The sequence below is a fragment of the Homo sapiens genome, chromosome 4, assembly GCF_000001405.40.
Source record: "Homo sapiens chromosome 4, GRCh38.p14 Primary Assembly".
Lineage (NCBI taxonomy): Eukaryota > Metazoa > Chordata > Mammalia > Primates > Hominidae > Homo > Homo sapiens.
Window position 1 is genome coordinate 184,298,440 of NC_000004.12, and position 16,150 is coordinate 184,314,589.

General features: G+C 41.6%; 1 protein-coding gene across 1 annotated transcript, besides 6 other annotated features; it reads right to left on the reverse strand.

The window, feature by feature from the left end:
• Positions 1–442: 442 nt before the first annotated feature.
• Positions 443–15,890, reverse strand: MYL12BP2 (MYL12B pseudogene 2). The gene is made up of 3 exons (XM_047416561.1): positions 15,866–15,890; positions 15,521–15,709; positions 443–1,330 (listed from the first exon to the last, which is right to left on the reverse strand). Exons 1-3 carry the CDS (start codon positions 15,888–15,890, stop codon positions 690–692), a joined length of 855 nt encoding a protein of 284 aa, XP_047272517.1. The 3' UTR covers positions 443–689.
• Positions 8,756–8,805: a silencer, noted in NCBI's record as "silent region_15834". NCBI's record gives its function as "represses an Ori minimal core promoter by ATAC-STARR-seq in GM12878 lymphoblastoid cells {active_cell/tissue: GM12878}" and the evidence as "EXISTENCE:reporter gene assay evidence [ECO:0000049][PMID:35858748]".
• Positions 13,305–13,364: an enhancer, noted in NCBI's record as "active region_22205". NCBI's record gives its function as "activates an Ori minimal core promoter by ATAC-STARR-seq in GM12878 lymphoblastoid cells {active_cell/tissue: GM12878}" and the evidence as "EXISTENCE:reporter gene assay evidence [ECO:0000049][PMID:35858748]".
• Positions 13,395–13,464: an enhancer, noted in NCBI's record as "active region_22206". NCBI's record gives its function as "activates an Ori minimal core promoter by ATAC-STARR-seq in GM12878 lymphoblastoid cells {active_cell/tissue: GM12878}" and the evidence as "EXISTENCE:reporter gene assay evidence [ECO:0000049][PMID:35858748]".
• Positions 15,381–15,882: an enhancer, noted in NCBI's record as "H3K4me1 hESC enhancer chr4:185234973-185235474 (GRCh37/hg19 assembly coordinates)". NCBI's record gives its function as "activates a minimal SCP1, AML or CMV promoter by ChIP-STARR-seq in naive H9 embryonic stem cells {active_cell/tissue: H9 hESC(naive)}" and the evidence as "EXISTENCE:reporter gene assay evidence [ECO:0000049][PMID:30033119]".
• Positions 15,381–16,070: a biological region, named in NCBI's record as "H3K4me1 hESC enhancer GRCh37_chr4:185234973-185235474".
• Positions 15,801–16,070: an enhancer, noted in NCBI's record as "active region_22207". NCBI's record gives its function as "activates an Ori minimal core promoter by ATAC-STARR-seq in GM12878 lymphoblastoid cells {active_cell/tissue: GM12878}" and the evidence as "EXISTENCE:reporter gene assay evidence [ECO:0000049][PMID:35858748]".

Sequence of the window (16,150 nt, forward strand, 5' to 3'; positions counted from 1 at the left end):
TCAGTCGAGTACTGATCGCAGCAGGCCTGTGAGGAAACTATCCAGGGCTGAAAAGGAACTGCCTAAAAGGAACAAAGGGAGCCAGGGGCCAGGACAGTTTGTATTCCCACCAGCCAATGTTGGAAAACCGTATAATTCATAGACTAATTAGAAGGTTTAGCTTTCATATGGGGGAAGGATTAGCCCTGGATTAAAAGCTGTTCTGTTCTCCCTAAAAAAGCTTAAATCAGGCCTCAAAACGAACTATTTCTTTTTTTTTTTTTTTCAAGAGATCACTTTTTATTGTGATACACAGTTTACTGAAGACAGGAACTGCTCTGATGACGAGCATCACAGAGTTTTAAGCAGATACTGGCAACACCTGACTCACTAAAGCAGGAGGCAGTTACACAATTACAGCAGTACAGTACATACTAGTTTATAGAGTTATGTTTTTTTGGGGGGGCTTTCACATTTGTTGATTTTTATTGGCGATCTCTTTTTCAATACAATTTATGCCCTCATCCTCATTTCCCGTCTGATTATACAAGTGCTAAGTGGCAGAAAGTTCTGGAATAAATACATAAAAAAAAAGAGGCAAAGCTGTGAAACTAAGTTGCATGCAACAGGTTCTATGAGGGTGGTGGAAGTGTGTGAGAAACAAAACAGAGTAAGACAATGTAACTGGAAGGTTTTAGCTAAAGTTCTTTTCAGTCATCTTTGTCTTTTACTCCATGTTTCAGGATGCTTGTGAATTCGATGTAATTGAAATTCCCCTTTTTGTCAATAGGTGCTTCTGTGTACAGCTCATCCACTTCCTCATCCGTAAACTGATCCCCCACGGTTGTCAGCAGCTCTCTCAGGTAATCTTCCTGAATGGTGCCTGTTGCTTCTTCATCAAAGCAAGCAAAAGCATTTCTGATGACGTCTTCAGGATCTGTGCCATTTAACTTCTTACCAAACATGGCGAGCAACATGGTGAAGTTAATGGGCCCTGGTGCCTCATTCATCACGGCATCAAGGCATGCATCAGTGGGATTCTTCCCTAGAGAAGCAAGCATACCATGCAAATCTTCCTTGCTGATGAAACCATCTCTGTTCTGATCAATCATGTTGAAGGCCTCTTTGAACTCCTGAATCTGTGACTGGTCAAACGTGGCAAACACCTTGGACGTTGCACACTGAGGGCGCTTCTTGGTGGTCTTGCCTTTTTGCTCAACATGGTGGTTGCTTAATTCCGGCACCAAATACCAGAAACGGAACCACCCTGTGCGAGATGACAAGCGACAGCGAGGAGCGCGGGGCTGTGGCCAGACAGTGGCGGCTATAGAGCTATGATTTAATACTGCATTTTAAATTTGCTTACATGTACAGTCTGTATGTTTTCATAAAATTTAACTTTTAATAGATTTGTGTATTTTGTGGTCGTGCTCACCGCAACCTCTGCCTCCCGGGCCCAAGCAATTCTCCTGCTTCGGCCTCCCGAGCAGCTGGGACCACAGGCATGTGCCCCCATTCCAGGCCAATTTTGTAATTCTGCTAGAGACGGGGTTTCTCCATGTTGGTCAGCCTCGTCCCGAACTCCCAACCTCAGGTGATCTGCCCACCTCGGCCTCCCAAAGTGCTGGGACCACAGGCATGAGCCACCATGCCCAGCCTGTGAATTCTCCAAGTTGTCACAAAGCTCCAAACAAATTTCCAATATATTTATTGAAAAAAAAATTATGGCCGGGCACAGTGGCTCACTCCTGCAATCCCAGCACCCTGGGAGGCCGAGGTGGGTGGATCACGAGGTCAAGAAATCGAGACCATCCTGGCCAACATGGTGAAACCCCGTCTCTACCAAAAACACAAAAATTAGCCCGGCATGGTGGCATGTGCCTGCAATCCCAGCCACTTGGGAGGCCGAGGTAGGAGAACCACCCAAACCCAGGAGGCGGAGTCCACAGTGAGCTGAGACCACACCACTACACTCCAGCCTGGCGACAGTGAGACTCTGTCTCAAAAAAAAAAAAAAAAAAAAAAAATTGCATATACCTGTGCACTTCAAATTTATGTTGTTCAAGGGTCTAATGCATAATTTTTTCAGTAAACTCAATTAGTGGGTTCCCCAAATTGTGGGATAAATCTTTTATGTAAATTCATGTGTTTTACAGACATGTGAAGACATCCCACAATACACTAATTACAGTCTTATTCAAATCTCAACTCTATTACAGATTTTGCATGTCAAGAAATCTTTTAGGTTCTGCTATTCCTCAGACTACGTTCCTGACCTCATTGAGGGTTTCAGAGGATAAATCAGGGGTCAGACTGGTAGAGTCACATAGAGAAGGAAAGAAAATAAGAAAAATGCTAGGAAAACCAGGCAGTGTCTCAATTACTACAGAATGGTCTTCACAAACTGGCATCACTGTTATGCTGGCAATAAATTTGCAAATCTCACACACCTCTTCTAATGTAAGTAGAAAACACAGACATTCAGGCTAGGTGCAAGGGGTTCACACCTGTAATCCCAGCCCTTTGGGAGGCCAAGATTGCTTGAACCCAAGAGTTCAAGACCAGCCTGGGCAACACGACAAGACCTCATCTCTACAAAAAAATTTAAAAATTAGCCGGGCGTGGTGGGGCGCAGTTGTAGTCTCAGCTACTTGGGAGGCTGAGGTGGGAGGATCCATTGAGCCTGGGAGGCTGAGAGTGCAGTGAGCTGTGATTGTGCCACTGCGCTCTGGCCTGGGTGAGAGGAGTAAGACCATCTCAAAAAAAAAAAAAAAAGACACGCAGAGCTGATTTTTTGTTTTTAGGATCCACACATCTAAAAGTTGAATAATTAAAGAAAAATTAATCAGCACTGATTGACTCTGGAAGAGTATTAAATTAGCTTTTCCCTTTAAAGTAGACCCCAGGCTTAACTTACCTCAAGCTCTTTTGATTCTGATAGCCTGTATGCCTATACTGTATAAGCTAAAGAGTGCATCAGTCTTTTCTATCACTTTAAATACAATAAAACTGTTTCTAAGCAACTTAATTGCATCCCAGAACAAAACGCAAGAATATCTATAAGAATATTAATCTATCCAGGACCTAAAAAGAAAAATTCATAATGTCTGGCACCCAACAAAAAATCACCGGATAGCCAAAGAAACAAGAAAATATAACTCATAAAGAGAAAAGTCAATGAAGAGAACTATACAGAAATTATAGTTATAACTGTATTCCATATATTTAAGAAGATAGAAGAAATATTGAACATATTAAGGAAGGGGAAAATATTTTTTAAAATGTAAATTAAGCTTTTTGGAATCTACAATTTCTGAAATAAAACATATATTGGATAGGATTAATCACAGTTTAGACATCTAAGAAGAAAAGATTAGTAAACTTAAAGAAAAGCAATAGAAACTGCAAATAAACACAGAGAGAAAAATGGCTGACAATAAAAATGAACAGAGCATCAGTGAGTTGTGGGACATCTTTAAGTAGTTTCCTACATGTGTAATTAGTCTATAAAGGATCAAAAAGGACAGAAAATATATTTGAAAAATTAATGGCCACAAATTTTCAAACTTGATGAAAACTGTGAAACTACAGATCCAAGAAGCTCAGTAAACCCCAAGCACAAGAAATGTGAAGAAAACTACAAGTCACATCATATTCAAAATTGTTAAAAGCAATGATGAACAGGAAACCTTAAGTGTATCCTGGGAAATAAAAGACACCTTACATACAGAGGAATAAATATAAGAATAAATCAGACACCTTGTCAGAAAAAGTGCAAGCAGAAGATAGTGGGGCAACATCTTAAAAGCACTAAAAATAGAAATGTGTCAACCTAAAATTTTATATTTAGCTAAAATATACTACAAATTATAAAACATTTGTAGGTGAAATAAAAATATTTTCAGATACAGAAAAGCTAAAAGTATCATCACCAGCAGAGCTGTACTATAAGGAAAGTTACAGGATGTTTTTTAGGAAGAAATAAAAAGAGAAGAAAATCTGGATCTGTTCAAAGACATAAAATAAACCAGAAACAGTAAATGTGTAATTAAATATAACATTGTTTCTTATTTTTAAAGACTCTTTAAGAGATAATTGATTGTTTATTATTATAACTAGTAGCAATGAATTGTGGGATCTAAGCCATATATAGAAGTAAAATGTATGTCAACATTAGTACAAAATCAGGGAAGGAGGAAATGGAGGTGTACCGATGTAAGATTTTTATATTATTTATGAAGTAGTTATTATTTTAAGTTAGACTGTGATTGGTTAAAGATGTAAATTATAAACCTTAGAGAAATACTAAAAGGACAAAAAAGAAAAAAGTAACAAAGAACAGATAAAATATATAGAAAACAGTTGAATATGTGGTAATTTAAAACCAATAATATAAATAATAAAATTAAATGTCAAGACCTAAATACCACAATTAAAGGTCAGAGATTGTCAGATTGAATAAAAAAGCAAGACCCAACTATGCTGCCTATAAGAAGCGTGCTTTAAATATAAGGAAACAAGTAGGTGAAAAGAAAATACATGGCAAATTATATAACATGATAATACTAATCAAAACTGGAATGACTATTACTACACAAGGCAAATTTCAGAACAAAGATTATTACTAGACATAAAGAGGATCATTTTATAATGATTAAGAGGTCAACTAATCAAGAGGTAATAACAATCATAGACATTTATGCATCTAACATCAGAACTTCAAAATACATGAAACAAAATGAAGAAAACAGCAAAGAGAAATCCACGAGTATTGTCAGAGATGTCTACAACTCTCTATCAACAATTGATAGAAGAACTAGAAAGAAAATCAGTAAGGATCCAGAAGATTTAAATGACAATATCAACCAATTGAACCTAATTGACATTTTTTGAACACTTCACCCAGCAACAACAGAATACATATCCTTTCCAAGTAAACACTGAACTGATACCAAGATAGATCATATTCTGGAACATAAAATAAATCTCAATAAATTTAAAATAATTAATGTCATACAAGGTATGTTCATTGAACTGAATGCAATGTAATTGAATTAGAGGTCGGTATTGGAAATATATCTAGAATATCTCCAAATTAATAGAAACTAAATAACATACTTCCAAATAACCTAGGTTCAAGGAAGAAATCAGAAGGAAAATTAGGAATATTTTAAACAGTATTTCAAACTGAATGAAAATGAAAAGATAACATATTAAAATGTGCTGGATGCTGCAAAAGCAGTACTTAAAGGGAAATGTATAGCACTTAATGCCTATTACAGAATAGTAGAAGGATCTCAAATCAAGAACTTCACTATCTACCTTAAAAAACTAAACAAAGAAAAGCAAATGAAACCAAAGCAGAAGAAAGGACACAATAAAGGTTAGAGTAGAAATCAATGAAATAGAAAAAGAAAAACAATAGAGAAAATCAATGAATCCAGTATCTGCTTCTTTAAAGAGATGAATGAAATTGATAAATCTCTAGCAAGGCTGATCAGGAACAAAAGAAAAGAAATACAAATTACTGATAATAGGAATGATAATTAGATCACTACAGAGTCTACCAACATTAAAAGAGCAATTCAGAAATATTATGAACAACTTTGTGTCAATATGTTTAACAATTTAGATAAAATTTTAAAATTTCTTGAAAGACACAAACTACCAGAGGTCATTCAATAAGTAATAGATAACATTAATAGCCTCTTATATACTAAAGGAAGTGAATTTGTAACTTAAAACATTTTCATAAAGAAAGATCCAGATCCATAAGGCTTCATGGCTTTAGTGGTGAATTCTATCAAACATTTAGGAAAATAAGAATACCAATTTTGTCCAAGCTCTTCCAAAAATTTACAGAGAATTAAATACTTTCCAGCCTAATTTCTGAGGCCAGCATTTCTCTGATGCTAAAACCAGAAAAAGACATTATAAGAGCACTACAAATATCTCCCATAAGGATTTGTTAAAATCCTTAATAAATTTTAGCTAACCTAATACAACAATTTATGAAAATGATAATACATTGTAACCAAGTGTGGTTCGTCCTAAGTTGGTTTAACAACTTGGGATAAGTTGGTTTAACAAACTTGAAAGGTTGGTTTAACATTGAAAAGTCAATCAGTGTAATTCATCACATAAGCAGACTTAAAAAGAAAATATATATGATTATTCAATAAGTGGAGCAAAAGCACTTGACAAAATCTAACATCTATTCCTGGTTTAAAAAAAAAAACCCTCAGCAAATTAGGAATAAAAGAGAAATTTCTCAACTTTATGGATGTCAATTTGAAGTGGACATTTTTGAATCACCTACAGCTCACATTTACTTAATGATGAACAACTGAATGTCTTTCATCTAAGTTTAGGAAAAGGAAAGCATGACCGCACTCACCATGTTTATGCAACATTGTACTAGAGGTCCTAACTGATGCAATAAGGCAAGAAAAGGAAATAAAAGGCATACAGATTAGAATGGAAGAAATTAAATTGTCTTTATGCATAGATGACACAATTATCTCTGTTGAAAATCTTAAGGAAGCTACAAAAAAACCACTAAACTGAATAAGTAAATTTAGCAAAGTTGCACGATAAGAAAACAATATTCAAAACAAATTGTATTTTTATGTACTAGCAATCAACTATCTGTAATTGAGTTTTTAAAATACCATTAAACAGCATCTAAAAATATGAAATACTTAGGGGAAAAATCTGACAAAGGACATGCAAGGCCTGTACCTGAAAACTACAGAACATCTCTGAAGGAAATTTAAAAACATGTAAATAAATGAAGGGCTGTATCATTTTTTTAGATCGAAGACTTGATTACATGTTTCCCCATACAGATCTATACATTAATACAATCCCACTTAAAATTGCAGCAGGCTTTTTCATAAAAATTGACAAGCTGATTCTAAAATTTACATGGAAATACAAAGGACTTCAAATATAATAGATACTTTGAAAAAGTACAAAGTTGGTGGACTACATTACTTAATATCAAGATTTGTTTAAGATCTACCATAATGAAGAACATGTGGTATTGGCATAAAAATAGAAAAACAGATTCATGGAATAAAGTAGAAAGTCCATAAATAGTCTCTCATGTGGTCAGCCGATCTTTAAGAAAGGTGCAAAGGTAACTGACTGGGGAGAGGCAAATCTTTTCAGTGAATGGTAGTGGACAAATTAGCCACATGCAAAAAAGAAAAAAGAAGTGAATCTTCATTTTTACTCATCCCATACATAACAAATTAACTTGAATTGGATCATAGACTAGATAAGAAAACTAAAAATACAAATTTTCTAGAATTTTACAACTAAAATTCTAGAAGACAGAAGAAAATCTTAGTGAGTTTAGGTTTGCAAAGATCTCTTAACTACAACACAAATAGTATAGACCATAAGAGAACAGAAAAGCAGTAAATTGGAATTCATCAAAGTCCCCTACACACAACATGGATAAATCTCAAAATAATTATGTTGAGTGAAAAAGGCAGACACAAAAAGAGTACATACTGCATGTTTCCATTATATAAAATTCTATAAAAATGAAAACCATCAATAGCACAGAAAGCAGATGAATAGTTGCTCAGGGATGGTGAGTGAACAGTGGCAAGGGAGGTTGTTGCAAAGGAACACTGGGAAATTTTGGGGGTGATGGATATGTTTGTTTTCTTGATTGCAATGATGTTTTTTTGTTTGTTTGTTTTTTTGAGATGGAGTCTCACTCTGTTGCCCAGGCTGGAGTGCAGTGGCATGATTTTGGCTCACTGTAACCTCCGCCTCCCAGGTTCAAGCAATTCTCCTGCCTCAGCCTCCTGAGTAGCTGGGACTACAGGCATGTGCCACCACACCAGCTAATTTTTGTATTTTTTTAGTAGAGACAGAGTTTCACCATATTGGCCAGGCTGGTTTAGAACTCCTGCCCTTGTGGTCCGCCCACCTCAGCTCCCAAAGTGCTGGGATTACAGGCGTGAGCCACCATGCCCGGCTGATGTTTTTGTTTTTGTTTTTGTTTTTGTTTTTACAGGTGACTATATAATATCAAATTGTATACTACCTCATGTGAGCTTATTTCCTTTAGAAGGGGGCAAATATAGAATCATGAAAAAAGAAATAAAGCTATTTCCATTGTCTAGGGCAAAGATTGGCAAACTACAGCCCTCCAGCTAAAACCTGGCTTACCAGCTGTTTTTGTAAACCTAGTTTTATTGGAACACAGTCACACCTATTTGGTTACCTATTGCCTATGGTTGCTTTTACAGTACAAGACAGAGTTGAGTAGTTAAGACAGAGACTGTGTGGTCCATGAAGCCTCAAATATTTACCTACTCTCTGGCTCTTCACAGAAAAAGGTTGCCGACCCCTAATCTAGTAGATTAAAAAAGGAATACTTTTGAATTGAAATCCCTGCTTCTAATCCCTTCTTCATTACCATGTGACCTTGGGTAAATTATTTCACCTAAGCTTCATCTTTTTCCACCTGTAAAAATGGAGATAATATGGACACACCTTCATACATTCATACAGAAGGTCACATGATGTAAAACACTGAAAATGCTCTGAGCTCTAACTGGCAATACAGAAAGTACTAAAGAAAAAGGGGCTTGGGGTAGCTATTATTATTTAGAAGTGAACATTTCTCAGTTGCTTTGGGGAAAGTGCATGACGCTTACCATGAGTGGAGCTTGCAGGACTGGAAGTGGCTCTGGTGAGTCAGTCAGTGAGTGGTGAGTGAATGTGAAGGCCTAGGACGTTACCGTGCACTACTGCAGACTTCATAAAAACCCTGTACACTTGGGCTGCACTAAATTTACTTTGAACATTCTTTCTTCAATAGTACATTAACCTTACCTTATTGTGACTTTTTTACTTTAATATTTTAAATTTAAAAAAATCTTTTTGACTCTGGTAATAACACAGCTTAAAGCACAAACATGTTGCACAGCTAGACAATGTTTTTTCTTTATATTCTTATTCTATAAGCTTTTTTCTATTTTTATAATTTTTTTTATTTTTTTACTTCCTAAACTTTTTTGTAAAATCTCAGACACGGCCAGGTGCGGTGGCTTACACCTGTAAACCCAGCACTTTGGAAGGCCAAGGCAGGCAGATCAACTGAGGTCAAGAGTTTGAGACCAGCCTGACCAACATGGAGAAATCCTGTCTCTCCTAAAAATACAAAATTAGCCGGGTGTGGTTGCACATGCCTGCAATCCCAGCTACTCGGGAGGCTGAGACAGGAGAATCACTTGAACCCTGTAGGCAGAGGTTGCGATGAGCCGAGATTACACCATTGCACTAAAGCCTGGGCAACAAGAGTGTAACTCCGTCTCAAAAAAAAAAAAAAATACCTCAGACACAACACAGGGTCAGGGTCAGGATCATCAACATGACTGTCTTCCATCTCCATATTTTGTCCAACTGGAAGGTCTTCAGGGCAGTAATACCCTTGGAGTTGTCATCTCCTATGATAGCATCCTTCTTCTAGATACCTCCTGATGGGCCTGCCTGAGGCTGGTTTACAGCAAACTTTTAAAAATATAAGTACAAGGAGTACACTCTAAAATAATATTATGTACATAAACCGGTACATCATTGTCCACTGTCATTATCAAGTATCATATACTGTACACAATTGTATGTGCTATACTTTTAGATGACTGGCAGCTCAGAGGCTTTGTTTACACCAACATCACCGCAAACACGTGAATAACGTGTTGCACTATGACATTACAAAAGCTCCAACATCACTAGGCTATAAGAATTTTTAAGCTCCATTAAAATCTTATGGGGCCGGGCACGGTGCCTCACGCCTGTAATCCCAGCACTTTGGGAGGCCGAGGCAGTTGGATCACTTGAAGTCAGGAATTTGAGACCAGCCTGGGCAACATGGTGAAACTCCGTCTCTACTAAAAATACAAAAATTAAGGAGGCTGAGGCAGGCGGATCACAAGGTCAGGAGATCGAGACCATCCTGGCTAACACGGTGAAACCCCGTCTCTACTAAAAATACAAAAAATTAGCCGGGCGTGGTGGCGGGCGCCTGTAGTCCCAGCTACTCGGGAGGCTGAGGCAGGAGGATGGTGTGAACCCGGGAGGCGGAGCTTGCAGTGAGCCGAGATCATGCCACTGCACTCCAGTCTGGGCGACAGAGTGAGACTCCGTCTCAAAAAAAAAAAAAAAAAAAAACAAAATTAGCCAGGCATGGTGTCATATGCCTATAATCCCAGCTACTCAGGAGGCTGAGGTGGGAGAATCACTTGAACCCAGGAGGCAGAGGTTGCAGTGAGCCGAGATCGTGTTACTGCACTCCAGCCTGGGTGACAGAGCAAGACTCTGTCTCAAAAAAAAAAAAAAAATCATATGGGACCACTGTCGTATGTGTGGTGTGTCACTCACTGAAATGTCCTTATGCAGTGTGTGACTATTATATGCCGTATCCTCCTAATAAAGTAAGCTAGAGAGAAGAAAACAGTATTAAGAAAAGCATAAGGAAGAGAAAATGTATTTATATTCATTAAGTAGAAATGGATCATCGTAAAGGTCTTCATCTTCGTGGTCTTCATGTTGAGGAGGCTGAAGAGGAGGAAGAGGGGGTTGGTCTCGCTGTCTCAGGGGTGCAGAGGCAGAGAAAATCCTCGTGTAAGTGGACCCATGCAGCTCAAACCCGTGTTGATCTTAGGTCAGCTGTACTATTTCTCTCTTACTCCTCCCTCATTGTGACTAAAAGAAATAGATCAAAGTGGCATTTTTAGCGCTATTTTTGCAAGCTGTATGTATAGGCAAGCTCTAAAATCCAACTGTACAAAGTCCCTAATGCCTCACCCTTACGTGGATTAAAAACTTCTCTAGAAAGGAGATGATGTCTTTATCTCTTCCTCCCTTCCAGCACTAAGGGGAGTGTCTTACATTTAGGAACACTTGATATGTGTTTTTGTTAGATGGATGGATGGATGGATGGATGGATGGATGGATGGATGGATGCATAGATGGATGGATGGATGGATGGATGGATGGATGGATGGATGGATAGATGGATGGATGGATGGATGGATGGATGGATGGATGGATGGATGTTATAAATCTTCATTAAGGCAGCATCAGGAGCTTCACTCTGTGAAGTGAACAAACAAAAGTAAAGCATCAGGGGTGCCTGCTTTGCCTTGCCACTTACTGTCAACAATGCCTAAGGCACACGATCCACATGATCTGCTGCTGTGTTTTCAGGGTGTTGTCTTGGTTTTTGTCTGTTCATTTGTTTGGAGTTTTGGTACCTCTGGCCGCAGAGGTGGAGGACGGACGTGTAGCCCTCTCTCGATGGCACACAGTCACTATAGGGCTGGGCAAGGCCCTTCCCATGGTTTGTTTTTTATGGACTTTTACTCTCCTCACCTCCTCATGGGTAACCATTGGAATGTGTTTATGTATTTTTATTTGTGCCAATTCTTTAAAAATACAGTGACTTTATGTGTGTATTTTTAATTTTCCTAAGGAGTGTTCTGCCACGCGTCTCTTGCTGTTTCTTACCCTTTTCACTCAGCACTGAAATGTTCAGATCCACCCACGCTGCTGTGTGCACAGGAGGCCCGTGGTTTCTAAGCATTCCTTTGGTGCAGCCACACCTGCGCCTATCTATTCTCCCCATTTTGGTTTTTTAAGGTACAACTGACAGTAACTTGCCAGGTTAACCAATCCTGTTTCCAGGGATTGGAAAAAGAGGAGGCACTGCATCTTCTTAGCCCTGAGCCCTGGGAAGAGAGGTAGAGGTCAAGGAGAGGTCAGCCCAGTCAGGCCAGCTCTGTCACCACTGGTCCCCTTGGGCAGCGGCAGCACCCGGCTCTGTTTTCTCACCTGCAGCAGAGTCAACAATCCCTGCCCCACCGACCTCAGGGCGGATATGATGCTTCCAGGAAACAATAGGAGAGGAAATGGCTGTGAATGGTGGCCACGGCCGCACGTGGGCCCGCAGCCTGCCCCAGTCCCTTCCTCAGCTGCCCTGCAGCCACCCTGGGTGCTGGAAAGGAAGTGTGTCGTCCCTAGCCACAAGGAGGCACTCACTCTCAGGGTCATGCAGTGAATTGTTACGTCCTGGGCACACCTCTGCCTCCCTGGTTACACTGTCCTGCTCCTCATTCAGGGGCTGTGACCTTCCTAGGGGCCGTAGGGATGTGCATAGGCCCCTCAGGCATGAAACCCACCCCAGCTTCCTGTCGATCTTTGCCAGTGTCACCCTTTCCCTTCCTTATAACCCCCTGCCACCATTTCTATTCATGTGATAACTTTCTAACCTGGTGTTGGGGAGCAAATGCCCTTCCCCGAGTCCCACACTAGGGATATTAGGGATGTTCCAGAGAGACTGGTGGCAGGCTTTTAGGGTCATTCCAGCATGTGGCGTTGCTCAGTCCAGCCCCATATTCCCTCAACAATAACAACAGCAGCAACAGCGGCAACAAGCAGTGAGAACATGAACTCCATGTTTAAGCTAAAAGACATCAAAAATGCACGCAGCCCAGGTGTGCACTGGCCTCCCAGCTTCCTCCAGCAAAGACCCCCAGGAGCAGCGTGCTGGGCCTCTCTGCTGTAGGCAGAAGGGCCTGAACCAAACTTCCCAGCGTTGGCCGAGCCCTCCCAGGGACAGGCATTGCCCTGGCGTCTGTGCTCACTGGGCCCAGGGAATGTTTCTAGTCGGCCTCACTGCCCAGCATTACTGATTTCTTCCCAGGCCTGTTTTTCCCAGGAGCCCATGAGCTTCTGGAAGGCTGCCACGAATCATGTTCTTCCACTGCTTAAAACCCTTCAGTAGTTCTCCCCTGCCCGCGGGACAAAGTCCAGTTTTCCTCATTATGACACAAAGGTGCTCCCTTTGAAACCAGGGCCTTCCTTTCCTTGCAGCTTCAGCCCTGCCAGTCCCCATTCTTGCTCTGTGCTGTGTCCATAGTTATGTTCTTGAGGTTTCTGAAAGGAACCACACTCTCTCTTGCCTCAGGACTTTCCCCCATGCCTTTTCTTCAGCTCCAAACATCCTTCCCCACCCCTTCCTTCCCACCACTTGGGTAATTCTGACTTGTCCCTCTGGTGTCAGAAGTCCCTCACGGTTCACAGGAAGCCTTGCCTGCTTACCAGGCACAGGCAAGTTGCGCTGCCCAGGTGAGCACATGCAGTGTGCACCTGTGCGTCCTGGTGCACCACGGCCCCCATCCGGCTACACCACAAGCCTCAGGACAATGTGTCCCCTAAAAACTCATATCTTAAAGTCTTGTCCCCCAGGGTGTGAACTTCTTTGGACATAGAGTCATTACAGAGCAAATCAAGCTACAATTAGGTCATTAGAGTGGCCTCTAATCCAAAAACCTGGTGTCCTTCTAAAAGGGGTAAATGTGAAGAAAGACACTCAGGGAGAAGGCCATGTGAGGATGAAGACAGAGACTAAGGTGAGGCTTCTACAAGCCAAGAACCCTAGAGATCACCAGCAAACCACCAGCTGGGAGGAAGGCGCAGCTGTCAGAAGGAACCAACCCTGCCAATCCCTCCATCTGGGACCTCCAGCCTTCAGAACTGTGAAACTATCAATTACTGTGATTTCAGCTGCCCTATCTGTGGTGCTTTGGTACCCTAGAAAACTAACACAGGCAGCAATGATGTCTTTACTTCTTTATTTTTTTCGACTTCATCTACAGAGCTTAGCACAGCCATTGGAACAAAATTGGAGCTCAGTGCACAGTTATTGAAAGAAAAATTTGTACTCTGGAGAACAAGGAGGAGACGTAGTTCCTGCACCCAAGGATCTCATGCAATGAGAACACAGAGCAGGAATAAGATAACTCAAAGTGTGTGCATAATGCCAGGTTAGACAGACAGACAGACAGCCAGGCCACTGTGAGTGCAAGTCCCTGTAAACCAAAAAGAAAATTCTAAGGCCCCCAACCATCTGAATGCATGGCCCCTCAGCCAAGGCATTCCAAAGTTAACCTATAAAACTAGTTCAGGTCATGAGGGGAAGGGGGAGCCAGACGTGCGTCTTGATACCCTCCTTCCTTTAGGAATTACTGATAGAACAGCCTCTTGATACCCTCCTTCCTTTAGGAATGACTGATAGAACAGCCTCTTTAAGTCTGAGTAGAAACATTTATGACCTATTCTCTCTGAAGCCTGTTACCTGGAGGCTTCATCGGCATGACAAAACCTTAATCTCTACAACCCCTTACCATCACCCAGACATTCCTTTCTCTTGATTCCAGGTCTTTAGATAATAACTCAATCAACTGCCAGTCAGGAAGTCTTTGAATCTGACTGTGACCTGGAAGCTCCCCCTTCCGGTTGTCCCAACTTTCCAGACCAAAACAATGTACATGTTACATGTATTGATTGATGGCTTATGTCTCCCTAAAATGTATAAAACCAAGTTGTAGGCCCACTACCTTGGGCACATGTGGTCAGGACCTCCCAAGGCTGTGTCCTGGGCATGTTCTTAACCTTGGCAATATACAATCCTAGATTAACTGACACTTGTCTCAGATACTCTTGGGGTTTACACCCCTTACTCAGATGGGGGCAGGCAGTGCCTGGCAGCAATCCCGGGAATCTCCCAAAACCTAGATCTTCAAGTACAAGCTGGTCAAGCAGAAGAGAGAATTGGAAGAAACAGAGGAAACAAAGCACAGTGGACTATTTGTGTACCTTCAAGTAATGTGCTGGGAGAGAAGCTGGGACCAGTCGTGAGGGATCTGGTAAAACCTGCCGAGTCTGGGAACCAATGAATGAACTTATTAGGTGGGTCCTAGAAATTTTTCTCTGGCAAACTGAGGATACATTTCAGGGGGTTATGAATCACCACCAGCATGCTCTCTGCTCTTCATGGACATCAGAAGCTGGGGGAAAGCTTTCTTTGTGAGCCCCCAGCCTCAAGGGCAGGCAGTTCCTGGGCTGAGCCTCACTGGTGAAGCCTTTATGTGTGATGCGGGAACTGCCCACACACCAACTCCTGTTTTGCCCTTTTAATGGGCAGCATATCTCCTCAGAAGATGTGCCGCATGACCATTTTTGAGCCCACACCATCTTCACCCTCCTAGAATCTGCCTCTGATTCTTGGAATTTGGGGAAAACCACAGGTTTTTCATCATTTCTCAAAACTACTAGTTTGCAGCAGCAGTTCTGTGAAGGTGGGGAAGAAGCTGAGGACACCGGTGCCATGTTTCTGTTCTTATTCACATTTCTCTGTTCTCTGAAAGCAAAATAATGCAAAGCTATAAAGACCATCAGGGAGAATCAGAGCACAGACAGGATTCCAAAGGATGGAGGCTGCCCCCGACAAAACCCCTCCCCAAAGTGGGGAGGGGGCAGAGAAGAGGCCCCAAGATGCCAGGTGCTTCCCTCTGCAGCACAAGACACACTATGGGGTCTGCGCAAAGACAAAACATCGATTTGGGTGCAGTCTTCTTGGTCTCATTATTTTTATCATCTCTCAGAGGATGTGTGGTTGTCCCGATTGCTGTGCTCAGGACAGGAAGGGAAAGCAGAGGCTAACATAACTCACCCGGTCTGCAGGACAGAGGAGGAGAGCAGGCTGAAGGCCTATCCACCTCTGCACGCATCAGGCGGCTTCTGCATCCTGAGACACCCTTCCTGAATCGACACTTGGGCCCAGCCTGGCACTGGGCCCCATAGACGCCAATTAGATGGACGTGGTCTCCACACTGCAGGTGTTCACAGTACTCACTTGCTCCTGCAGACCCCAAATGCCAGAGAACTCATTTGCTGACCTTTAGCTGATGACAGGGGCTGGAGTTGACATTTGTATCAACCCACTGCATGCCTCAATGGGTCACCCTTCTGTGAGCAGGTGCTTCAGAGGCACAGCAGGACAGTCCTGGAGGCTCACCACAAAGCAGGGCCACCACACGCATGGGGAGAACTAGAAACCGATGACTTGGAATTTCCCTGCTGTTCTGGGTGGGCTTTGATGGGCTTTGCTCTGACTTCCTCTCTTAGACCTCTGGGCAGTGTTGCTACTGACGCAATAGAAATCAAGCATCCTGTTTCACTCCAGCAGAGGCTGCATTGCAGCAATGAGGGGTGTTTGCCCCATACCCAGAGAGGTGCTTCTGGGGAGCGAAGGCCCATAGCAAATGGGCAGCTAGCACATCAGGCCCAGGAGTCTGCTGCG